Raw genomic sequence first — 26417 nt, forward strand, 5'->3', positions numbered from 1 at the left:
CATAAAGTGAGTAGTAGCCCAAGGAGATGAGAGGAAAGCAGAGAAGGTACAGGAGGAAGAGTCTCTTCAGGGAAAGAGAGAAGGTACATGGTGAGAGCCCCAAGAGTGAAGAAGGATGGCTGCAGGGCATGGAACCAGGGGAGGGAGGCCTGTTGGAACAGGGCCAAGCAACTATTCTTGTCAAACCTTAACTGTCCTATGGGCTCTGAGATGGGCTGAAATGTAAGACTTGACTAAAACAATAATGGACTGTTTTCTCCATTTTCTCCCAGAATGCTGGGTGTGTTCAACAAACTTACCATGAAATGTGTGATCACTTAGGTCATGGACCTAGCTGATAGGGGTTTAATATAGGGGCTATAAAAGAAATAAAAAGTCCTAGAGTCAAGGTTACCTGTGTTTGTTTCATAACTAGACTGGTTCCTTTAATCTTTTTTTTTTTTTTTTTTTGAGATGGAGTTTCACTCTTGTTGCCCAGGCTGGAGTGGAGTGGTGCGATCTCGGTTCACCCCAACCTCTGCCTCCTGGGTTCAAGCAATTCTCCTGCCTCAGTCTCCTGAATAGCTGGGATTAAAGGCATGCATCACCATGCAAGGCTAATTTTGTATTTTTAGTAGAGATGGGGTTTCTCCATGTTGGTCAGGCTTGTCTTGAACTCCCGACCTCAGGTGATCCGCCTGCCTCAGCCTCCCAAAGTGCTGGGATTACAGGCATGAGCCACTGCACCTGGCCTTCCTTTAATCTTTAAAAAAATTTTTTTGAGGCTGGGTACAGTGGCTCACACCTGTAATCCCAGGACTTTGGGAGGCCAAGGCAGATGGATCACTCGAGCCCAGGAGTTTCAGACCAGCCTGGGCAACATGAGGAGACATGGTTTCTACGAAAATAAAAAATTAGCTGGGTGTGCTGGTACATGTCTGTGGTCCCAGCTACTCGGGAGGCTGAGGTAGGAGGATCACTTGAGCCCAGGAGACTGAGGCTGTGGTGAGCCCAGATGGCGCCATTGTACTCCAGCCTGGGTGATATAGTGAGACCCTATCTCAAACAAAACAAAGTTCAATGTAAATGGGCAGGTGTCACAGATATAAACAGGCCTGAGGTATATACCAAGAGTTTTGAGTCATGATTGTAGTCACTGAGAACTGATTCTGATCAAAGAATTTGTGGGATAAAAATGGAGATATATATGGATGATAAAAAATTTATGGATAATTTAAGGAGACAGACTCCTACAGTGACTAAGAAAAAAAGAGGCACTGCAGAGAGGAAGAGATGCTATGAGAGGAACTCTTTATTGAAATTTCCCTCTTTCATATCTCCAGACCTCGAATGGCTCATTTCTGAATAACTCAAGTAGTGATCAGAGCAGGGACACAATGGAGTGTTGGAAAGCTGTTGGGTGACCCATGAGAGAAGGCCCAGTGGGTGGGTGCAAAACCCCAGTAAGATGATGACTAGCTTCTTCAGCCAGTGAGATAAGGAAAACAGCATTCAAAAGAAGATTATGGTGGCACAGAACATTTTGGCTTCCACATGCAATTTCTTAAGAATTGTTATGCTATTTTATGGAACTTTATCTGCTTTTCTGATAACCTCGAAATGTGGTGAAAGGAAATGTGGTAAAATAACAGAGTATTGGCAGGCCATGCCTATTCTAAATTTCAGACATTCCCTGAGTGCTGGCAGTGGGGTGCATGTAGGATGAGGGCAAAAGCAATCCCGTATTGCATGAACTCTATCCTGTTGGAAAAGGGTAAACAGGTTTCAAATCAAAGGCAATGATGCAGAATAGCTAAAGCAAACTCTTGCTTATCCACAGACTGATATCTAATCTATGAATTATTAAGTCCTTTGGGGTCACCTACCCTTCCCTTTGGGTTAATTATCCTTCTCATTAACTCTGGGGAGAAAAAGAGAAACAAGTTTAAACTTAACTCAGTTAATGGAGAGACCAAAGATCAGCTTTGGAAAAAGATACGGTGGGAGGTGGATGAAGCTCAGCTTTTTGGCTTACACTGATTTAAAAAAATATTACTTATGAATTTTATATATCCTAAGTCATTTCTCTCTGCCATTGTTATGAAAAATTATAAGTTGAACATACTATTTTTTCTGACTTTTATTTTAATTAATTTTGTGGGTACATAGTAGGTGTATATATTTATGGAGTACATGAGATGTTTTGACACAGGCAAGCAATGTGAAATAAGCACATCATGGAGAATGAGGTAACTATCCTCTCAATCATTTATCCTTTGAGTTACAAACAATCCATTTACATTCTTTATTTAAAAATATACAATGAAGTTATTACTGACTATAGTCACCCTATTGTGCTATCAAACAGCAGATCTTATTCATTCTTTCTATTTTTTTTTGTACCCATTAACCATTCTCATCCCCTCTCCAATCCCCGACTACCCTTCCCAGCCTCTGGTAACCATCCTTCTACTCTTTATGTCCATGAACTTAATTGATTTGATTTTTAGATCCCACAAATAAGTGAGAACATGTGATGTTTGTCTTTCTGTGCCTGGCTTTGAATATACTAGTAATAGCTATGTTTCTGTCACTTTTTGGATCTAGGTAAAATGAAAAAGGGCAAAAAACTTACTGCCTTGGGAAAGAATACTAGATTAAAAGATGACACTAGGAATACTGCTAAATCCTTGCATTTGCTTAAATGTTGCCATCAAGGAGAAAATTCAAACCTCAAACTTCTGACAAGTGAAGCCTGGTAGGTGGGGTGATGGTGGATGATCTGGATGCTTTCATCAAGAGTCTGGGAATTAAATGCCTATAGGCAGGCAGATCAAGTATGTAGGTACAGCAGGCAGGATGTCAGACGATTGACGCAGGGACTCACTCTGTGGCAGTGGAGAGCATGCCAAGTCCAAAGACTTATTCAGGATGAATTTTAACAATCACTGCAAGTCCAGCAAAACAGCCCTGTGTGGGCAGATGCTGCCCACAAGCCACCGTTTTTTGAAGTATGCTTTCAATGGGTTAAAGGAACCCGAAAAGAACTCCCTACTGTGATCACCAGAAAATGTAGGTAACCCTTAAGAACCAATGGGAAATAAAAAGAAATGCCAGAAAATTGGAGATAGATAAAAGCTTTTCCTGATATTTAAAATTTCTAGATTCTAGAAATTATGTAAATTTGACACAAATTCTGGGCAGCATTATAAAATGGCTCAGTAGTAGGTAATTAAACAGACGGTATTTTTTGATTGCTTACAAAAGATAAGGTTAGTTAACAGGAGACTGCATGAGATCATTATTAATCTTGCCCCTTTTCTGATAATCAAGACCAATATATTGATATAGATGATCAATATCTGTGATGTACATTGTGGTTTTAGCCAGGAGATTGACATGCGGGGCCACCTGGAGAAATGTGAATACTTAGCTGGCTAATTAACCAAAGGAGAGATGGTAGAGCAATGAGCTGATGTCACGAAAGACATTTTTTGGAGTCATGCAGTGGTCCTCTGACTTAGTTCACCTGATCTGTGCTTGTGAGCATTTTGGGGAACCATGTCTAAGATATAGTAAGTGTGGTTATCAAACAAACGATGGCCTAAAATGCATAGGATGAAAAATTAATATACTAGATGAAAAAATCAGGATCCAAAATTACTTGAGGTGCTGAAATAATGATCTAAAGGGGGGAAAAAAAGAAAAATTTTATAGTAATGAATACTAAGTCTTGATTCTAGGTTAGAACAAACATTTCACAAGAAGAAGTTTGAGGATATTGAGTCAGTTCATGTAAAAAAGCCCTGGTTGAATTCATTGAAAGTGTACTCTGAACCAAAGATGTTATTTGGTTGCTAAGACTAGTAATATAATCTTATAGCATACCTAATGTGTAGGTCAAAAATAATAATCATCACCATTTATTGAAAGCATAATACCTCATATATGCCCCTCAATAACTTTTAATACTCTATAGTTAGGTCTTAATACTCCATTTTATGAATGGGGACATAGGTTAAGAGGAGTTAAGTAAATTGCTCAAGAGGAGTTAAGTAAATTGCTCAAGGTCACATAGCTAGTTATTGCAGAATTAGTATTAAAATTTTGTTATACTATATTATGCACATTATACTGTGTTCTTTCCGTTATACCATGGAGAGAACTCCTTGTCCTACTCTATATGTACTAGTCAAGTACATAGTAGGTGCTCAAAAAAAGTAAATGAATGGATAAAGGAATTAAATCTAGGCTCTAACAACACAGGGAATTGAGTTTAACTTAGGCACCACGTTTAAAAGATGTTGACAATTTAAAGTGCATACTGAGAAAGTGAGCAGGGTAGTAGATGATCTGCTGGAAAGCAGGATAAGCAATGAAATGATCTTGGGATATTTACTTTGGAAAAGACACAGCACAGTGGGGAGATGACAATGATCTTCACATATGCAAAATATTATTTCAGAGAGAAAAGAATTTTAATTTTCTTTCTTTTTTTTTTTTTTTTGAAGTGGAGTCTCGCTCTGTCGTCCAGGCTAGAGCGCAGTGGTACGATCTCTGCTCACTGCAGCCTCCACCTCCCGGGTTCAAGCGATTTTCCTGCCTTAGCTCCCACAAGTAGCTGGCATTACAGGTGCCTGCCACCATGCCTGACTAATTTTTGTGTTTTCAGTAGAGATGGGGTTTCACCATGGTGGCCAGGCTGGTCTCGAACACCTGAACTCAGGTAATCTGCCTACCTCAGCCTCCCAAAGTGCTGGGGTTACAGGTGTGAACCACTGCACCCGGCCTTAATATTCAGAGAGAAAAGTCTTTTCCTGTATTCATTCCTAAGACTGGTAGCATAGGCAGTTTCTTCTCTTTTCCAGGAGGTGTTCAAATCAAGGTTGGGTGTAACCAGAGAATGCATTCTTTCAAAGTAGAGTTCCTATATCACCTCCTCCTATGCAGGCCTTGCTCATGCCAGTTGCTCAGAACATGTTTGTTAAGTCGACATTGATCAGGTGTGTGGAGGAAACAACTGCTTTGGGTACAAGCAATCTGTACTCAGTGACTTCCAGAACATTTTCCAAATGTAAGATGCCAGGATTTTATATGCTCCACAGTGAATAATTCAGCACCATCCTCTGCCAAGTTTGGACTTAAAGCTGTCCATTGGTTTTCATCAGTGGTTATTAAAGTATGGTTCCCAGACAAGCAGCATCAACATTAACATCAGTATCATCTGGAAACATTTTAGAAGTGCAATTTTCAGGCCTTACTGCAGATCTAGTGACAGAAACTCTAGGGGTAGGAAGGGGGCTACCCAGCAACCTGTGTTGTAACAAGCCCTCCAGATGATTTTGAGACCTGTTAAAGACTGAGAACCACTGGGTTGGATGTTTCTGGTCATCCCTGCTGGGATGCACACAAAAGCTCAATGAGGCTGCATGTTTCCTGAGGACTGAGGCCTGCCTTGTGGATCCTTAGTGCGTGGCTTACTGCCTGGCAATGGTGAAAGCCTGGTATTCACATGTTGAAACAGAACTGAACTCATAAAAAGATAGTGAGCACAACATTTGATAGAACAGGCTTCAAGAATTGGTTATCTTCAGCCAAGAGTCCACAACTCCTCATCGGAAAAAAAAAAAAAAAAAAGCCAGTCACCAATGTTGCATAACAGATGAAAAGCTTGGTTATTTGAGTATAATTATCATTAGTTAGATATTGTCCCAAATAAAGCAGAGGGCATTGGTTACTCTACTGGTGCATTATATTCTAGAATTGTATTGCTCTAGATGCATCAGGGTCATTGCTATATAAAAGGGAAAGACAAGGATTTTTCAGAATCAGGTTCCTATGAGGTGTTAATGATCTCCTGAATATTGTATTTAGCTCTTTACATACCACTGTGATGCAAAAGTGTGATTGAATAATGATCCATTTAAATGGATAATTATGGGGGCATCTTTGTATTTCTAAGAAGACTCACGCAAATACAACGTGTATAAATAACTTGTGTTTTAGGGCAGTGGCAGGAGGAGGAGTATGAATCTCACTCTGTAAAGAAACTCCTTTTCCTAAGTCTTTTAGTAGGACAAAAAGGCATCTCTTAATGTTGTTGATTTCAAATCTCTGTTATTGGGGTTATCTAATATGAATGTAAAATTATATAATCTACACACTGTATAGAATATACACAGCTAATTTAGGTAAATTTAACCATATATACCTTTCCAAATGTGTGTATATACATACATATACATATGTGTATATGTCTCTACCCCTTTCTCTTGCTCAATCAAATGTAAATAAGACAGGTGATTTCACCTGCCACTCCACTCAGAAAGGACATGTTCTAGAAGATGTTTGAGATTGGTAATATGGATCTACTCTTCCCTTGGTTAATCTCTGTTCCCTTGTGCATCCCATGGTGTTTCTGTTTTGCGAGTGCAATTTCAGTGTTGAGAGACATTATCTTTGGTTCACTTACAAATGCAAAAAAAAAAAAAAAAAACCCAACAACAATGACAACAACAGCATTTAAATTCTAAAACCCACACAAACAGAAGCAGCAGAATGAAGCCTGGCTTAGGTTTGTTTCTCTGGCACCTGGGATTGGTCTTGAGGTCATCTTGGTCTTTCAGGCCCCTGTTACTCCAGAAGGTCAGTCTAAAGCCTAGGACACAGGGAAGGTGGGTCTACATTCTGTCCTGGACTTCTGAGAGTTGCTCACCTTGGCCATCCTCTTTGAGGATGGAGCTCTGTAATCACCCAGAAAGGAACAGGGCCTTGGGGAAGGAGTATTCTTAAAGGGTTTGCAGGCATGGGGCCAGAGGCTCAAGTGGATGTACTATAGTTTCTTTTTGTTTCTTTTCAGAAAGAATTAGTGAAATGGTCACAATTTATTCACGTGTGCTGGTGCCTGCACCTCTTCGTTCTAGTTCCTCAGGGAGGCAAAGCCTTCCTTGCATCTTAACACTCTTTTTTCCCTACCTCTCTTTCCCTCCAGGTCTATGGCTTTTCTGAATTTAAAAAGCATTTCAAAGGCCTGTAGACAAATGCTTTGTAAACATGTCTGAGCAATGGGTAATGTGTCCACATAGAACAATTTCCGGGGAACCACATGGTTATATGTCCATTAATAAATAGCTTTCTCAAGGTCTCAGAATGAGAAATATCTTCAGACTTTTAGTTTCTTCTTCTGTTTGCCAGAAAATTGCTTTACGTTATATCATCATAAAATGGTCTATTTTGCAGCAACAGATGTGTATAAAATCTGTGCATGGCTTTAAACTTTATTAGTATTGGCTGAGTACCGATGGATACTATCACTTAATGGCATATGTGTATATACCTACTTACATAGACTGAATTCTTCAAAGAAATAAAGGGCCAGGGACAAAATATACCATTTAGGTAATTCCTACAGAGCCACTGGAGAAGTCTGAAGTGGATGAGCAGACAAAATGTCATTTCATAAAAACTGGAGGTGACTGCCTTGAATCTTAAAAGCCTGAGCCATTCTGACTAAAGTCGTCAATATGTTAGGCCTTTCTACACTATTTCTAATTTGCTTCTGCCATCTTTCTATTGCAAATGCTTAAAATTTAAAGTTACACCTATGTTTCGTAATATTCTGGGTGTTCTTCGGAACAGTGGTTCCCAAATGCTAGGTTCTGAATGTGCCAGCCTGGAATGAAGTTTCTATTAGTCTACAGCAAAATAAGAAAAATAAGAAAATGTCAGTGTATTTTCATAAAGCTAGACTTACTAGGTTTAAATAATTCTCTTTATTTGAAGATCTTGTGCTCTCTCTCTCTCTCTCTCTCTTTTTAATACGCTGAGGTGTATCCTTCAGACTGAAGATTTTTCTTATAGCTCTGCTGGCTATACTATTTGGCCCATGAGATCTAAATGTATATAACCATTCAGTAGAAAAATCTGCTTTTATTATTTTTTTTTGCTTTCATCTTGTTCTATAAAAAGGAAAAACAAAACAATTCTGGGGAAAAATCCTAATTATTATTTTAGCTAATTTACAATTCTGTTACTGTCATTTATTCAGAAGGTGTTGGGCACCCATATAAGGCAGGCACTAGGGCTGTTCAACTCCTCTGGAAAAGACGTGCAATAGTCTACACAAAACATAAACTAATGGAGAGCCTAGAGTCAGGTTGAGTCTCATTTGGTTTTTGCCTGGAACAGAACTTCCCAATTTCTGATCTGAGCCAGCAACCTCAGGCCTGTCCTGCACTCAAAATTCTCTTCTGTCTGGGAGGACAGCTGCTACTGCCTGCTAGAGAAGTCTAGGATCTGTAAGTCTGGGATTTTGATCTATAGATACTTTGGGCAATGTTCTGTTCTCTCATAAGCTCCATGATTTCTCAGACAATAAAAACAAACACAAAAGATCTCTGTTTTGTGACCGTGTGAATAAATTCGATGGATAAAGCATGCCTTGGCACAACACATCTGCAGGAGGCAGGTGTCCACAGAACACACCTTTCTGAAGTCACCCGTATCCTCTCATCATTAGATGAGTTGAACCGATCATCCTTTTCTCTGAAGTATTCTTCTATGCATTGCTCTTCAAAGTCATGTACTTTCTTGAGCTCATCATCGGTTATGAAGAGTTCTGTGGAAAAAAAAAAAAAGGAAGTCTTGAGGGAGAGAAGTAAAAGCGATGGCATCTGATTTGTGGGCCTAGTGACATTCTCAGTATAAATCTAGGTGGGAAAAGGGGCCTAGATTCCTTGTTAAGTCTCAAATGAAATCCAAATCCAATTAGGCAACTTGCATCACTGTCTTCTTTCTGAACATGAAATTTATTATGGGTCTCTGAAGTTCACCTGAGCATATCTGGTTTACTGCAGGAGCTGAGTAGAATTAGGCAAGTTGTGAGGCCAGGGAAAAAGCTAAATCAAGGAAAGGGAAGCTATTCAGAGCCTAGAGTATCTTAAAAGCTCAAAAACTTCTGGGCTGGGGGTGTGGCAGAGAGACATTGTTGATTGGCCTTACTAAAAGCCCTTTTGCAACCTCATTCTCCTTTTTCCCTTTCCTGCTACTGAGCTTAGAAACCCAACACAAACATTTCCAGTTTCCCTTGAAGCTAGCAGCAACCACGAGGATCCAGTTTGGGCCAAGAAACAAAAGAAGTCTGCTGCAGGGAGGAGTGGTGTCTTGGGAAGAGATTTTACTTTCCTGATAAAATATAGACATGTGGTTGCTTCTTTCTACAGTTTTTCACCTTCTCCTCTTTTTCCTGCCTGGAACATGAATGTGATGACTGGAGGTGAGGCATCTATTTTGTGACCATGAAACAAGAAAGCACAAAAGGAATAGCTGAGCCTAAAAAATAGAAGGAATCTGGATCTTTGACTTCAATGAGCCATTGTTGAGCTCTGGGCTCTTCATTTTTTGTTAAGTGAGAAAAATAAAGCCTTATTTATTTGCATTATTGTTAGCCTGGTTTCTGTTAATAGAAGGTAAATGGATTCATAACTGATATAGCAGTAGAAAGAGCCCAGTGGAAAATTGAACCTTTAAGTAGTTTATGAATCAGGGTTATGGGGAGAGAACTGCTTTGCCAGTTCTTAAATGGGACAAGTCATTCTTCTAATCCCATGCCCTCGAGATGTGATAGGGATTGTCCCAAATATTTGGAGCCCTGGATTTTGGACCCTCAGGGATTTAGTTTGCTGAGGTGGCTCTTGCTTGCTTTGGGACATTAGCCTGAATTTGCCTGGGGCATGGAAAGTATGAATGTAAAAGCAGGTGAGAGAAAAGAAAATACCAGAAATTAGACTGCTCTTGTCAAATATGGGAGGCTTCCTGAGGTGAGGAAGACCTGTATCACAGGGAACACTTGAGATTCACTCATGAAATTACACAGAGCATTAGTCTCGAGGGAGGGGAAAGAAAAGAGGCAGTTTAGAGAGGCCCTCAAAGCACAGATGATTGCTATTGCTGCTATGCTATTGCTATATTTGAGACTCAAAGGAGTATATTTAACACTTATTCTGCTGGCACTTCATTTAACTTCTTTGGCTATATGTAACGCCTTTTTAACAAAAATAAAATACTATTTTTTAAAACTCCATTAACACGTCAAATTTTAACAATAAAAATTAAATTGTACATTTCAGTGTTTTGTCTGAGCCTCTGCCAGAACTTGGCAGTGCCCTGGGTTCTTTTAATTAAGGCTACAGATGGATAGTGAAAAGTTCAGTTTCCCCGACTGATTCATACAATGCAGGGCCCTTGTCTCTGACCTTCACCCTTTTCCACCCAGCCACAGCACTAAAATCTTTCTTCTCTGAGAAAGCAGACATGGCTGTTCCTCCCTTCTGAGCATCCAGTAACCTGGCAATGCTTTCGTTGCTACCATTGGTGATAACGACAAGAAAACCCTGAACAGCAACTGCATGGAGCTGGCTCCCATCTAGCCCAATGTCTGGCTTATTCAGGTTCTCTGGCCTTCTTTGAGGGGGTGGGCACTGGAAAGGAAATGGATCTCTGGACCATCCTACTTCCTGCATTGTATTTACAAACACCACCTTCCTAAGCTCTCTGGATAAGTGAGGTTCCTCTTCTACCACAAATGACTCATGCTGTATTGTAAATTATTTTGGGACTCTGAGCTAGCCCTCAGCATGTTATCCACTGCAGGCTATCATTCATTAGAGCATCCCGCTGCCCCTGATTTTGTATCCCATGCTCCTCCACATTGGCTAGAGTTCCTGAGTCGAGAAGCTTAGGGTTTATTTCATAGGTCATCCACCCCGACCCCTCCAACTTTTCTCTTTGCTTAAATTTGTGTTTCAGATGGAAGCAGTGAATTCTGGAATTCCCAGGTCTCTCTAATGTAAATGTCTAGAAAGAAGTTGGGCATTGCAAGGTCAGGGAGGGTGTTAAGAGCTTCAGATTTAGAGAAGCTGTTGACCAAATCGTTTTGGTTTCAAACCTTAGATATACTGGTGACCACACAGAGGGAAGTAGACTCCTGGGCTATAATCCCAGAGGCTCTTGTTCAGTAGATTTGATGTAGGTGGCCTGTTTGACACACTTTGAGAAACCATAGGAGCTTGCTGGTATGGGATTGGATTCCCAGTGGTTCTTAATGGAGCGTGGTACCCAAAGGGTATTTAGGAATCTGTGGGAGTCACCAGTATTTAATGTGTGGAGGCTGGATATGCCAAACCTCCTGCAGTGTGTGGCACAATCCTACACAACAAGGAATTGTTCTGCCTCAATGCTAATAGAACCTCCTTTTAGAAACACTGGGCTGGAAGGTGGATGGTGAAGGGTCTTCTGTTTTGTCCTCCGAGTAACAGAAAGCTGGGCTGGTCTTCTCATGAGGCAATCTAGGCACAACCCCTAAGGTTTAGGAAAATGTTTAAGATCAGAAAAAATTATAGGTCCAGAAGTTATTGCTTAAATTATATATAATGTAGCCTTGGGTGGCATATTAATATCATTGATGTATTTTGGGTTGAGATCTCTGGAAAGCAAGAAACTTAGAACTTATGAAGGTTCTAAAATAGCCCTGCTGGAGACTGATTGTATCTCTCTAAGAAAGACATGAGGCTAAGAGTGCTCAATTTCAGCCTCTACCATCTTCTTTCTGACATTATTTCTCATTCAAGTCAACTCCCTCATCCCCCAATGCTCTCCAAGCCTTCAGAGCTGTCTGCAGCCTGCAAGAGGTAGGAGGAACTAGGTGGGCATGCGATTCTGCGTGATTGCCTATAGGAAGTGGTAGGGATTTCTGATTTGTGGCAGCTCGGCTGTCGCTTGAAGCTTACTCAGGCCGTAGTCCCTTTCATCCGGGTCGCTCTCGTGTTTCCTCCATCGGCAGCACAGGTGCTGGAATATCATGGTCATGTGGCTGAAGATGATCAGTGGTGGGGGCAGAACTGGCCTTTCATGGAAAGTCATGATGAGCTGATACCTCTGAAACTTCCAGACTTGGTTGGATATCGATTTTACTTCAAAAAATGTATTGCTAAAATAGAGACCAAAGAGAATCAAGTGAGAAAAACCCACTGTTTTCTGAAGCATCGACTCCCCTTCACCCCTGCTGTCCTCATCCATCCCACGTGCTCCAAAGGACCCACTTACTTAAAGACAGCAATGAGGAGGTTGACCAGCAAGATGTTTGCCACTAAGAGGTAGCAGGCCATGATGGCCGGCACGATCCAAGCTCCTGTCTTGCAGGGAGGCAGCTGGATTATTTTACCATCCTCTCGGGTCTCATTCTGTCCACAGGGAGCTGGAGGGAGCAACACACACAAGAAATGAGAAACTGGCTATTTGAGTTAGAAAAAAAATAAAAAGATGGATTTGTAGGAGGGTTTTAGATGGAAGAAATATATAGCCATCTCAAACAGAAAAAAGTTCCAAACAAGCCAAAATTGAAAAATGAGAGCTTCATGAATATCTCAAGGGGCTGCTACTGTGGTGGTGGGGGGCCTCGGTTCCACAGTCTCCCCAAGTTATCACCTGACCAGAAGAGGGGGGTGGAGCCACCTTCTTGCTCACACTGCCGCTAGGCCCCTACACCGGGTGAGGGGCACTTGGTGCTCTTCTGAAGCCTGATTGAGAACTTTTCTTGGGTGTGCCCAGGGAGAAGAAAGTCCCACCACTGGCAAGTTACTTTCAAAATGTGCTGTAGAGGCTGTCAGCCTGACAGCTGTAAGAGCAGCAGCATCTCGGGACTATTGATCGGGAATTAACAACAGGGCAGCTGTTAATTGCTGCAAGAAACAACCTGGGAGCTCCAGCTAACGATTTGCTGTCTCAGTACAGAAGGAACAACACAGGGCAGTGCCTTGGGAAGTATTTAGAGGGCTTGTTGCTCTCTGCTCCTGATGGATGGGATTTCATTAGGAGGGCAATGAGGGGTGATCGGCCGTGATCATGGAGCTCATAGCCACACCTGTTCTTCCAGCAGCATTTCCATTCCAAAAGTGTGCTTTTCAGGGCACAGGAAACAAAACCTAACTGCAGTGGATAAATGGGCAAATGGGGGGAAAAAAAAAGCCTGGAGGTGGGGGTGAGGAGGAAGGTGATATGTGGGATTGGCTGTGTGTGAGTAATGTGCTAATGAGGCCTGCTTGGAATTTCCGGGTAAATGCAAGAAAGAAAAAAATCCCTGACAAAGCTTCTTAGTGCTGCACAGACAATGTGGCTCAGGAAGCCAGATGATGCCGTGAGGTGCCAGGCATGGGTGAGGTAGCCCTCCTCTCCAGCCCCCTATAATGGCTTTAGAACAAGGCTCTTTACATCTACCTGTAAAAGGTGGTTGGGGGGAGTGGGAGGAGCACCAAGAGGTCTCAGCAGTTGCCACAGGCTGCTTTGATGATCGGCCAGGAAGATTTGAAAAGTTGACCCAGAATCTACTCGGCTGGAGTACTTGGCAAGAGGCGTCCATTCCTTTCTCAAGAGTTTCCGTTGCTAGGCTGCACATTCTACAGTGATTCTCAACCCTGGCTGCCCTGGGGATCACCTGGCGAGCTCTAAAAAATACCAATGCCCAGCTTGGCTCCAGACAATTGAATCAGAATCCCTGAGGGTGCCCCAGGCATCAGCATTTCTTTTAAAACTTTCTAGGTAATTCTCAATTGCCATGAAAGTTGAGCCCACTGAGCTAGAATTAGGCTGGAAAAATTATGTAATTTTTGACATGCTCTGAGGCCCAAAATGCATCTTCTCAGCCTATGAGGATTTTAATAACATTAGGACACCAAGACCTGGTTTTTATGGCTAAGAAAAGAGGACCAAAGTGCTTCCTTTAGTTCTGCCTGCCAAGATGACTGGATGCAGAATCAGGCATTTTTGAGGAGCAAGAATCTTTTTTTTATTATTGCAGTTGTGGCACTAAACACCCAAGACAGCCCTGTAAGAGGTCCTGATCATTTCCACCCTTAGAAGGAAAACTCAGCAATGAAGGCCCCCTGGCTTCAGCATGAAGTCAAACTCTGAGAGTGCCTGGCCCTGGGCCGTGTCTTGCCACCTCCCACCTCTCCCTCTGAGCACAAACTGGACTGAGTTTCCTGCAGTTCCTAGAAATGCCATGCGCTCTCTTACTTCCTGATTTTGAGCCATGCTGCTGCTTGGCTTCTAAAAGACCCCTCTGCTACCTTGCTCCCATTCCCATGCTTCACCTGGGTGCATCCTGCTCACTCTTTAGTGCTCACCTGGCTTTCCAAAGCCCACCCAGCTCCCTTGCTGCCCCATCCAGTAAGGACTTGGGTAGGTATCTTCCTTACAATCCCAGAGCACCCTCTGCCTGCCCTTTTGGGGGTCTCTCACACTGTGTCACCATTGCCAGTTTATTCGTCTGTATTCCACACAAGATTCCTGGTGGAAGGTTGCTCCTCAAGATTTCCCATCATCTGGCTCAGTGCATACACATAGCACATCCACATGCACCTGTACAGGACGAATGTTGCATAAATACAGGAGATCATGGGGACACAATCTTGTTGGACACTAATAGACATTTCCCACACCTCCGCAGGCCTACTTGTGATGCATAGTCCTAGCTCTGAGGGGTCATTAGCTCCTTTCTTAGGTTCTTTCCAGAAATCCTGCCCTCAGCTTGGCAAGGAATCTTCTTACACTCAACCAGACTTCAGTGTCTCTGCTACCCACTTGGCCACAGGCCTCATGGAACCATTGCTTTGTTTTTCTCTCCTCTGCGAAGCTTCTCGCACCTACTCTACTCACTCCCTCCCAGCCTAACAGTCTAGTAGGCTGGTCACTCCTCTATTCTGCCCTTTCCTCTGGCTCCTGCTCAGATCTCTGTGTAGACGCCAACAAAGAGCAGAAATAACTGCTTGGGGTTAAGTTAGAGAACTTACATGATTTTTACAAATGTGTTCCCTGATCTCCATTTCTTGACTATTCTGAGAGAATACAAAATAAACTTGTGAGAGGCAGAGCTCATTTATCTTGCTCTTTTTGACCCTATATTGAGGGAAGGCCATGAAGACACTTCCTCCACTTGGGCCCTTGTGCCCAGCTGAGAGAGGAAACAAGGAACAGTAGGTGCTTGCTTGTTTCAAGTGGTCCATGTGCATTTCCATGGACTTTCAGAAAGTGCCATCAACATATTTCCAGGTCTCTGCTGAGTTCCTCTGCTTGGTTCCTCAAAGGCCCTCACTAATTAAAATATTGGACCAGCTTAATATCTTTTTTTTTTTTTTAACATTATGTACCTTCCTGAGAAACTTAATATCTTTATTGAAGATTTGATTTGTTTGGCGCCGGGAACCTCCTGCCAATCTTTTGGGTATTAATTTATTCCAGCCTCCCCCACCTTTTACTCATCCTGCTTTAACAGAGGTAGTATTAATTTAGTGGTTAGGAACATGTATTATGTTCAAACCCCGACTCTGGCTGAGTGCAGTGGCTCATGCCTGTAATCCCAGCATTTTGAGAGGCCGAGGTGGGTGGATCACCTGAGGTCAGGAGTTCGAGACCAGCCTGGTCAACATGGCAAAACCCTGTCTCTATTAAAAATACAAAAATTAGTCAGGCATGGTGGCACACACCTGTAGTCACAGCTACTTGGGAGGCTGAGGCAGGAGAATTGCTTGAACCTGGAATGTGGAGGTTGCAGTGAGCTGAGATCGTGTCACTGGACTCTAGCCTTGGTGACACAGCAAGACCCTGTCTCAAAAACAAAAACCCCCCTCAAAACCCTGACTCTGCCATTTTCAAATGATCTGACTTTAGCTTTGTCCATAAACTTTAGCTTCTTCATCTGTAAAATGGGAGTAATAATGGTATATTACTGTCAAGTAATGTACTGTCAAGATCATTACACAAGATAATGCATGCAAAGTATGTAGTTCAGTATCTAGCACATAGCACTCAATGAACATTAGCTGAGTCATGATTGGTATTTTTATTTCTGTAATTGATAGACTTTGAGCTTCTCAGGAACTATGTTTTATTCCCCTTTGTTTTGCAATCACTAAGAATAGCGCTTACTCTACAAACATGTATTCAGTGGTTATAATATGCTGAATACAGGGTATATTGGGAATTAGAGAGATGCTTCCTGTTCTTAAAGAACTTGTAATTTGGTAGAGACATAGAAAGGGTACAAAGCTTTGCATTATTGTGTGATATGAGCTTGGATGGGGTTTCTGAGGAAGCACTCACATTTGAACTGTGATAGTCCCTCTAGCCTGGCCATACAGAGCAGTCTGGTAGTCAGGACCAGCCTGAGGAACATTATCTAGTTTCTACAGCAGTAACGGCAATATCCGTGAATTAGATGATCCTTGTTACCATGATGATGATGGTAAAAATGAATAGTTAAGAAATAGCCTTCATTTGGTAATATCAGCAAAGAAAGAGCATTATATGCAGCAGTTAATGCAAAATGTTGTTCTATAATGGTTTCTAATGATGTCCTTGTTCTGGGTAGTTACCAACCTAAAAAGTGCTATGACTCAAGCTTACAGATGTCTACCACTGATGAAGATGAACTGGTGCCTTAAAACCCTGATAAGCAGCAGATTCCAGGATGGGGAATAAATTATCTGGAATGTCATATAGCACCAACCAGTATCTGGAGATTTATGTTCCCAGAGAAATGCCCCCGGGACATGCACCCAAGATGGCACATGGGTGGATGTTTAGGAAACGTAGGCTGGTGACTTCCCCTGGGCCTCCTCCTTCCTTGCTTTTGGGACCTGACATTTGGGTGGCTTTTCTCTCAGTCCTTTTGCAAGAGGCAAATGCATGGTCAGTACCACCTCCATACCAAGTGGCATGTTGTCACCTCCCTCTTTCATGGTGACAGTCAGTACAGAGTCCTTCTAGTGGATATTGACTGGTTCCAACTGCCCAGTGTATATTTCCCCATCCTAGTTTCCTTTTGTGGAACCACCCCTTGTCCAGTCTCAGTCCATGAAGTACGGGTGAAATGAACTTCAATGCCAAATCTAGGAGAAGGTTAATCAGTGTATTTTATTCCCTGATTGCAGTGATCGGTTCAGGGATGGACATGTGACCCACACCTGATCAATCAGCTCAATAAGCATCAGCCTTGGAACTTTTGTTGAAACTAGTATAAAAGAGAAGTTCTCTTTTCACAATACAACGTAAGGCTACCAAGTAGAGAAGGCCTGCCCAAGAGTGACTCTATCACAGAGAACAGAAACTGATTCCTGGCTCAGCCATGCCTAAAACCAGCCTTCTATAGTCATAAAAACCATGCGATTCTTTTTCTTAAGTCGATTTCAATTGGGTTTCTGTTACTTGTAATTAGTCTTGACTGATACAATTACCCCCACCTCTAGCCCTTGTCCACAAGCCAGTAATAAGAGATGTTCATATTTTGGGCACCTCATTGCTGAGAGACTGCATTTGGAGTCTTGGAATGGCATGGAAAGATTGGAAGGAGCAATGCGGGATGTAAAACCTGATCTGATACCAAGGTTGAATTATTGCCAGGAGCCAGAGGCCATGCTGCTCCCCTTCTTCCCCAAAGTATAAAGTAAAGGGCCTATACTGATAAAGCTCGAATTTTGTCCAAGTGGGATCTTTGACTCAGAAACTAATGACACAGATTAGACCTATTATCAAACCTGTAGGATTAATGCAGCTGGGAAACTTTGGCCAAGCACCTGGCCAAAGTTAAAGTGAAGAAAACTTATTCTAGAAGCTGGTCATAGCTTAAGATTAAGTCGTAGGGCCTCAAAGTCACGTGCAGGTACAGAATGGGAAGGCTACATCTATGCAGCAGTGGCAAATTAGAAGGGATCAAACATTTGGAGATTCAGATTCTCTATGGTTTACTTATGGGGGTCACATTGACACATCACATGGCAGAAGCCTGGAAATGCTATTTGTGTTAACTATGCATTAATAAGTAGAAATAGATGATTGGGCTCTGGAACAAATTAACAGGTTGTTCAGGTAGAATTCTGCCAAAGTACATGGATGATAGTAAGAAAGCCCTCCCTATAGATGTTGTGGGGGGTTTTGGAGCACAGCCTTCCAATGGTTGAAATGTTTTTCATACATAAACTTTTATAATAACAAGTCAATGACATCCCTTGCTGGAATATAAGCCTCACAGGGCAAGATTTTTGTCTCTCTTGTTCACTAAACAGCCTCTAGAACACTACCTGGCACATAGTAGGTGCTCAATAAACAATGGCTGAATGCCTGCAGACATGGATGTCACACACTGCACATGTGACCTGCAATGTCAGGCCACATTCTGTGAGTTACAGCTCCTCTATTTCACTGGGTGTCTATTTTCCTGTTTATGTCAAGACCTCAACAAGTATCATCATGACCTGTCAATATAGGGTGGCTCCTGTGAGAGCAAAAAACTGACAGAGGGAAAAAATAGATTTTTTGGTTTTTGGTTTTTGGTAATTGCCAAGGTTAAAGCAATAGGTCTGGTCTTTGACAAAAGCTATAGAAAATCTCCCTCTAGATGCTGTTGTGTAAATCTCCATGGCAAACCAACAATACCCCATCTTGCATCCATGACAGACGTTGCCAATTAATCTTGATGTTTTTTCCCTCTGAGCCAAGATGTGACCTTGGAAACCTTCTCAAGACAAAACTCCTGAAAGCACACCAACCAACTGAAATTGACGCAAGAGAAGGGACCTTTCTCTCAGTCCCAGTAGAAATGGGAATGTGAGGTCTGGGGTGAAAGATCAGTGACATTCTTCTTTTCAGGAGCCTCCTCAAGCCCACATGGCCTGGCCAGTACCTGCCCTATACCACCTCACAGTTGCCCAGGAACCAAAAAGGGTCAGAATAGGACATCCTACTTATTTCAGACACTGATACTTGTGACGAGGGACCATCCTGAGAGGGCTGTGGAATTCCCCCACATACATCCTGGACCTGAGGACCCTGCCCCCTGTGTATTTTAAAAGATAGCTTTAAAAATGGTGCTTTCCCAGAAAATCCTGGTCCTAGTTTTTTCCTTATGTGGGATCGTCAAAAGTGAAGGAGAGTGGAGATTTGGGAATAAACATCTGTGGAAAGCATATTATGTGGCAATCTCCATGCTGGGCACATTACATTGGCCATTGTGTTTCATCTTCTTACCAGTTCTGTAAGAAACGCATTGTCCTTGTTTTACAGCTGAGGAAACATGTGCCGAGGGGTGAAATGCCTTACCAAAGACCACACAGCTAATAAGGGGATAATGCCAGAACCATTCCATATATCCAAAAAATACTGAGTTCCTGCTATGTGCCAGTGGCAACTGGCAGTGAAGATACAATTACAAATAAAGCAGAAATGGGCACTACCCTCTGTCTGACCCTGAAGTCTATATGTATTCTGCTCTACCTCACATGGCCTTGCCAATGTAATATTAGTGGCCACCTACCGCAGGCTTAAATGGAAGGCCCTGTGCTATGAGCTTTACGTATATCACCTCATTTTAATCTTTACCATATTTTGACATGATAGGTCTAATGTTTCCCATTTTACATTTGAAGTAGGGAGGCTCAGAACACTTTAGGGTCCCTGTCAGGTAGCTCAGAGCCAGGAAGAACAAAATCAGGATGTCTATAAAAGCCTGGTGAGCTACAAATTCCCTTTCCTTGGTGCCTCTGAAGAAGGAGCCAACGTGGGATTGAGAGGAATCTCTCAATTATGAACAAATCTAGAAACAGTTCATTAGACATTGATTATTCTTGTCCCTATCAACATGAATAACTTGGCCTGAGCCGTTCAGATGAAGTACGAGTACACAGAACAGTTTAAAAGTTCAGAGGGTGGAGAGAGAAATTAGGTTCAAGTAAGAGGTATCAGGGGCAGGCACCTCCACCCCAAAGATTAAGACACTTGCCCTGTTGATTTCATCCTATAATATGCAGGGAAAAGAAGTATTTATTTATTTAATATGCACACCATCTTGTCCCTAAAAAGTCAGAGAAATTTAAAATGGAACACCAATGTTTGATATAATCAGAGTCATCCTTAAAAATATGGCAAAAAAGGATATTTCTTGAAGAATGCCCCTTCCTCTCCTGTCTGAAGAAATGTTTCAAAAGCTCAGTCCAAATCACAAGCAATGGAATAAAGAGCTTAGTTGAGTATCTGACTACATTTATCCTATTTTTTTTATAGAAAGGATTTTCATCTAAAAATCCATCTTGAAAAGATAACGAGACAAAGAGGATTTCTCCACCTCCTTTTGAAAATCTATACAGTTCGCCATGGAGGATTTAGAATGCCATTAGCACAGCTGCTGTGGCTTTACTGGGAGGACAAATTTGATTTAGATAACGCTGCCCTTTGGCCTTTTCCTGACACAACGTTTTCCTTGGCAAGACAACTGGAGATGCCTCCCTTTGCATGGCTACATCTTTCTAGAAGTTTCCTTATCTGAGGCTCTTTGATTGTGGTGGGTCCAGGTGGAGGTTTTCTCTGTGGAAACATGAGGCTCTTTCTATTGCTTTCAGTAGGTGACTGCCAATATCCTCTTATAATGGACAAGAAGAGCAAAGGTCGCTGAAAACCAGGCAAGCCCAACTTTCTAGAGTCAAAAGCACCATCTACTAGCATCCCCTTTTACTTCTTTTGTGGCTTAAGTTTTTTCTCTTCACCTAACCCAAACACTAGGTAAGATGCTAACTGATAATGATATGGCGCAAAGGCAGCCACTGGAAATTGGTGGGAGGCCTTGGTTTCTCCATCCATGAACAAAGGGAGTTGGGTTATTGATATTCTCTACAGTGCAACAGACACACAGCTTGGGAAGTCCAAGATGGCTTTAGGACACACAAGCAGGGCATTAAATGGCACTGAACTAGATAGTAAGGGATGACACTGTCAAGCTTCTTTCCATCTTCCTGACGCCATCAGAGAGAAAGTGTTAGTTTAAGCATACTATTCTTTTAACACTTCCTTAATGTTTGCTAAATTCCCTTTTTTAGGAAAGACTGAGCTCAAGCATCTGGTAGAATTTCACAACAATGTAGCGTTTTTCATTCTGTTTATTTTGTGGTTATCCTCTATTTATGTCAAATGATACTGATTTTCAACTTGTGACCCTAAATCTTTAAAAATAAATTAAGTTTCTAAAAAATGAGCCAATTTAACAAAAAATATTTAAGAGTAGAACAAAGGTTATAAACTAGTGAATGGGGGTATGTGGTTGACTGAAGTTTGGGAAATGCTGGATTAGATTATCTCTAAACTCCATCTATTCCTGATATTTTGTCACTCCACGATTCCAGGAAAAGGAGCAAAAGACTTGAATTTGCCCCAAACTGAATCATCTATCCCAGGAGCCAACTGTAGGCCACTTGTAGAACCTTAATCTTTTTATTCCTGGTAGAAAAGCAAACTAGCTCCCACTGCATTAAATGGAATTCAGCCCCTACCTGGGGAAAAAAAGGGACCAATGATATAGCCTCCAACTCTTCAGGGCCATCTTGGCTTCTGGTCTATCTGCTATGTGCACACAGTTTCAGCTTTGAGCTATTCAGAACCCACTATTAAGCTCAATGTCTCATTTTTTAATCCAGTAAATTAGCAGGATGTCGCAAATCTAGGTATGTTGTGTGTGTGTTGGGCAGGGGGGAGGTATGGGGGGAAGAGCGTCCTGGGGGAGAAGTGGGGAGAATTCAATTCCCTGTTACTTGGTTCCATGTTCTTCCTATCCTATATATCTAGCTTTACCTGGAAACAAAAATTATTTATTTGAAGAGGGCTTCAAAATTCTAACCTTAGTATTTCATTATTTTGCATCAGGAATTAATATCAGAAATATTTTATGCAAATCTTGCCTTGGAAGAATATATATCTAAACTAGCCTATTGTACACGCCAGTGGGTTTGCTGTCATGATTAGGAGATCGATTGCATTAACAGCCCCAATTTCTCTCCCCTCCCTGGATCCACACTGCTTTGTCATGTGATGTTAGAGTTTCTATCACTAAACAGGTGGGATCTCTTTCTTCACCTCTTGATTCTGAGTTTGGCCATGTGGTTTGCTTTGGTGAATGGAATGTTAGCAAATGTGACCCACACAGAACCTTGGAAAAGCCCTTAATGTTTCTGTTTCCACTTTTTGGCTTCCGCCATTACCATAAGAGACATGCATGAGCTAGCCTGTTGGAGAATGAAACACAGGGAACCTTTGCTTCTAGGTGCTTGTTTTCTGAGCTGAGGCTGTTCTGGAGGAGGTGATAGCCCGCTGACCTCCTGGCAGGTGATTGAGCCCAGCCCAGACCAGAAGAACCATGCAGCCAACTCTCAGTCTTCTGAGCTCAATACGTGCTTATGGCGTTAAGTTCTGAATTCTAGGGTGGTTTTTCCTGTATCATTTTTGTGTTGATAGATACCTGATAAACAAGCTAAATTTCCCTTGCCCTGCTCACAGCTGGAAGAGGTAGCCCTACGTCCTTCAGGCTGACAAAGTCCTTTCCTCATTTCTTCACTTCTCCTTTCACCCAATTCAGGCTACAGATGATTGGAGCAGATTCCACCATTGACCAAGAAGGAGTGAGTTCATTGAATGGCCAGTGACTAATCAGACTCTTTGTGTTTAGAAATAAAACAGAAGTGCAGAGACTTAAGTTAGATGATGGCATGTACTTAAAGAACATATAGAGCCTGACCTCACTGGGTCATGTAAAGCAAGCCATATGAGAGAGGGATGGTGGAGGAAGGGAGAAAGGAAATGGGAGAGAGAGCAAGAGAGAAAGAGAGAAATGATTGATTGATTATTGATTGAGGCAGGAGAGAAGTATAGAGAAAAGCAGATGAGTGTGGTCATGTCTTCTGATTCTGACTTTACAAAACCACTTCTGGTTTTGTTCCCAGTCAGCTCACGCATGTCGTGCTCTGCTTCCTGTCTTTGAATGCCTCTGTGGTTTTCTCTTAGGCACTTACAGTCAGTCTTTATTGAACCTACTCTGTGTAGTTTTGTTTTCTTACAATCAACATTTTTCTCTGGTTGAGAACATAGTCGCTAAGACTTCAGAAGGAATCAGTTTCCTTGCCTAGTAGTTTCATCAGAGAAGGGAGGGGCTGTGAGAAGGGAGAGGGAAGCTCTGGGAAGGGTTAGAAGAATGGAAATAATTGTGTTTAACTCAGTTTTACTCAGGGCTTGCCTCATCATCATCATTACACCTTCCTTTTGATATTTGCATATACGAAATAGGATTAGATAAGTTCTTTCCTTCTTCAAACCAAAACAACAGAAAAATTTCAGAGAAAACATAAAATAAGTTACTCTTTCAGATTTTTGTGTTGCTGTCCACCTACCTATAATTCATCACAACTCCCTGACACGCAACAATACACCTTTCTGAGCAATGAGGGCAGGAGGAGGCACCCCTTCCCCTGTAGGTGAAGGGAGCTGGAGTCCATTCTCATTGCCTTTACTGTGGAAGGTTTTCCCTGTGAGTCCACACTACCTCAGCCTACAGGCCACACACTAAGGAATATGCTTGTTGTTTCTGTTTAAAATGGAATTGTATTACTTTTCAGAAGCCCATGCATATTTAGGGTATTAGAGTATTCAAAGAGGGAAGAGCCAGGGCCCTCTTCAAGAGGGGCCTTCTTAGGAAAAGAACCAGCAACCTCATATCAGGGCTCTCTGTGCCTGGAAGGATCAGTCCAGTGAGCCAGACTGCATGTCTATGTGTAAATGCACATCAGGGGACATGAGGCTACACCACCTCCAAAGAAATAATCTATGGCTCTTGTCGACTCCCATTGCATTGTGCCTGAGGGGTTATATGATATCTACAGAAATGATCAATGTGGCTCCTAATATTCAGGAATGCGTATATAAGCAAATAAGTTCCTGCTGACATTATTTACAAATCCCCTGGTAAGAGACAATGCAAGAAACACATCTGTACTTACAGCTCACGGTTCAGGCTCGAATCTCTCTGATCTGCAGGCACTAATTCCTCTCTGTGCCCTCTGGATCCCAAGCTCTGTTTACTGTTAAAACTTGAGCTTTTCACGCTTCAAGTGATGCTCCTCAAACAACCAAGAATCCAGACAATAGGCAGTCCACATTCCGCTTAGAATCTAAGCAGCTGTTGGCTCTTGTGTTGGGACTATGTGTCCAAATGTATGCTGCATATGAACTGCTAGGAATATGATAAAATAGTTGGGTGACAGCACACCCTTGTATAGTGGGCTAACAACGTTATTCTTTCCCAGAGCAACATTGACACGTCAGTTAAAATACAACAAATAAACATTTTCATCTTGGCAGATTTATCTGTTTTTATTTTTATTTTTTTTTTGAGACAGAGTTTTGCTCTTGTTGCTCAGGCTGGAGTGCAATGGTGTGATCTCAGCTCACTGCAACCTCCAACTCCTGGGTTCAAGTGATTCTCCTGCCTCAGCCTCCCAAGTAGCTGGGATTACAGGCACAAGCTACCATGCCCAACTGATTTTGTATTTTTAGTAGAGACAAGGTTTTGCCATGTTGGTCAGGCTGGTCTCGAACCGCTGACCTCATGTGATCCACCCACCTTGGCCTCCCAAAGTGCTGGGATTACAGGCATGAGCCACTGTGCCCAGCCTAGATTTATCTGTTAAAAAATAATAAACTGAGATACCAATCAAGTGAATTGCGGTGGGGGCGGGGGCGGGCCAAGAGGGAAAGAATAGGCAAGGCACTTTGCTGTTCATCATTTTTTAAATTATATTTTAAATAATCACATTATCCCACATTACTAAATCATTTTGTGAAGTCACTAGACACAAGGCACTAACCTTGGGTAGGTTCAGATTGAGACTTAGATCTGGCATTTTGCCATCTATGTCCTATGGGTAAGTCCTTTGATGTGTCTGAGCCTCAGTGTCCTCATTTCTAAGCCTGACCTAATGATGATAATAGAAATAGTGTTAATAACAGTGATGATGACACATTTCCAGCTTCCCTCATCATTCATTCAACAGGTATTTATGGAGCCCCTATTGTGTACCAGGCACTATTCTAAGTGCTCGGGATGCATCAGTGAGCGAAACATCAAAGATCCCTGCCCCTAGACTATCTATACTGGGAAAGGGATGGTGGTGGTGATAGTGGATGGACAGAAAAGAAACAATAGCATAATAGATAAATAAGCTAAGCAGGCTGTCAGTAGGTGATAAATGCTGTGGGAGAAAGTACAGAATACAGGGTAGGAAGGATCAGGTGTGATGCGGGAAGCCCACGGGTGGTGGTGGTAAGCCACACTAAGAAGGCAAGATTTGAACAAAGACTCCAACCTCAGATGAGGGAGTTGGCTAAGTGGCTCTCTGGGGAAAGGATGCTCTAAGCACCAGGCACTGCTTAGAGCTACATCCTGTGAGCACAAGAAGGTCCCTGGTCTGGAGTAATGCCAGGGAGTAGCTGGAGAAGAGGAAAGAGCACCGAGAGGTGGGAGCAGGGAAAGCAGCATGTGGAGGCTTTGGAAGGACCTCAGAGGATCAAATCAAGCTCCAAGGCAAGGAGATAAACTTATAACAGTAAGGCGTTATTATTTATTGTAATCGTTTATTGGATTTATTAAAGAAACTGAGTAATTGCTCCTCATCCATTCCACCTCTGGCCTGATGGTTTCTTATCTACTAAGTAAACCCTCTCTTCATGATTTCTATTTTCCCCACCAGATCCTCAATGCCCTTACATGAAATAGGGAATGGCCCTGCTGTACCTAGTTGGGGGAGATCTGAAGGCAGCTGAATGTTGGTCCTGTGCAGTCTGCAACAGTGACTCTCAGACTCCTTTCTATGTCCACCTACTGTAAGAAATGGAGGGCGAAGGAAAATGCGTGCCAGGGAGGGCTCAGGTTTCCTCTCAATCCCACCCACATACACAGCTGCCCTGCCTTTATTGGCCAAACAGCAGTCTGCCAAGAGAAAGCTGATTTCTAATCTGGTTTGAGCAAAACCAACCTTTATAGGTAGATGAAAACCTCACAGTATGAGGTTTGGGAGAGGGAACAAGGTTCTTACTGACGACATCAGGGCAGAAACCCAGCTTTTCTCACTGCAGTTAAACTCCTTAGTGGTTGCTGCTTAGCTCACACTGTTTACTGCACCTGCTGTGTCAAAGAACAATAAGCTTGGATGCGGGAAAAATCCTTCTGTTCCTTAAGCACCTTAAACTTTTTCCAGGCAAGAAACCCAAACTGAAGCTATAGCCAGAGGTTAACCTGAACAATTTTCTAGACAGTTTCACTCAACAATGACACCCATCATAAAGTATGTAAAGAGAAAGGGTAGATTTAAATTCTCATTTTCAGTATTCATGAAGACAGGAGGGTTGCTACTTTCAAGGTGGCTTACAGATAATCTGTATTTTTCTTTTATGCCTGGAATTGTGCACATGCACATACACAGCAAAGATCAACTAAGTTGATAATATTCATTAGAGTATTTGAAAATTAGATGGCTTCACTTCGCCAACACATACACTCTCCAGAGTACAAACTGGTG

General features: G+C 42.2%; 1 protein-coding gene and 1 long non-coding RNA gene across 21 annotated transcripts in view; one reads left to right on the forward strand and one right to left on the reverse strand.

Annotated features, from left to right (window-relative positions):
* KLF9-DT (KLF9 divergent transcript) overlaps nt 1-9415 on the forward strand; it is a 136304-nt gene extending 126889 nt beyond the window's left edge. For both annotated transcript variants that reach the window (XR_001746707.3, XR_001746710.3), the window contains one exon: nt 9201-9415. This is a non-coding gene — a long non-coding RNA (KLF9 divergent transcript). The remainder of the gene's footprint in view (nt 1-9200) is intronic.
* The window catches only part of TRPM3 (transient receptor potential cation channel subfamily M member 3), a 917912-nt gene that overhangs the window by 12019 nt on the left and 879476 nt on the right, over nt 1-26417 (reverse strand). For all 19 annotated transcript variants that reach the window (NM_001366143.2, NM_001366141.2, NM_001366142.2 and 16 more), the window contains 3 exons: nt 12082-12232; nt 11766-11965; nt 8464-8596 (listed from right to left, as the gene is read on the reverse strand). In NM_001366143.2, coding sequence (NP_001353072.1) covers nt 8464-8596; nt 11766-11965; nt 12082-12232 — 484 coding nt within the window. The remainder of the gene's footprint in view (nt 1-8463; nt 8597-11765; nt 11966-12081; nt 12233-26417) is intronic.

Source organism: Homo sapiens, chromosome 9 (assembly GCF_000001405.40).
Source record: "Homo sapiens chromosome 9, GRCh38.p14 Primary Assembly".
NCBI lineage: Eukaryota > Metazoa > Chordata > Mammalia > Primates > Hominidae > Homo > Homo sapiens.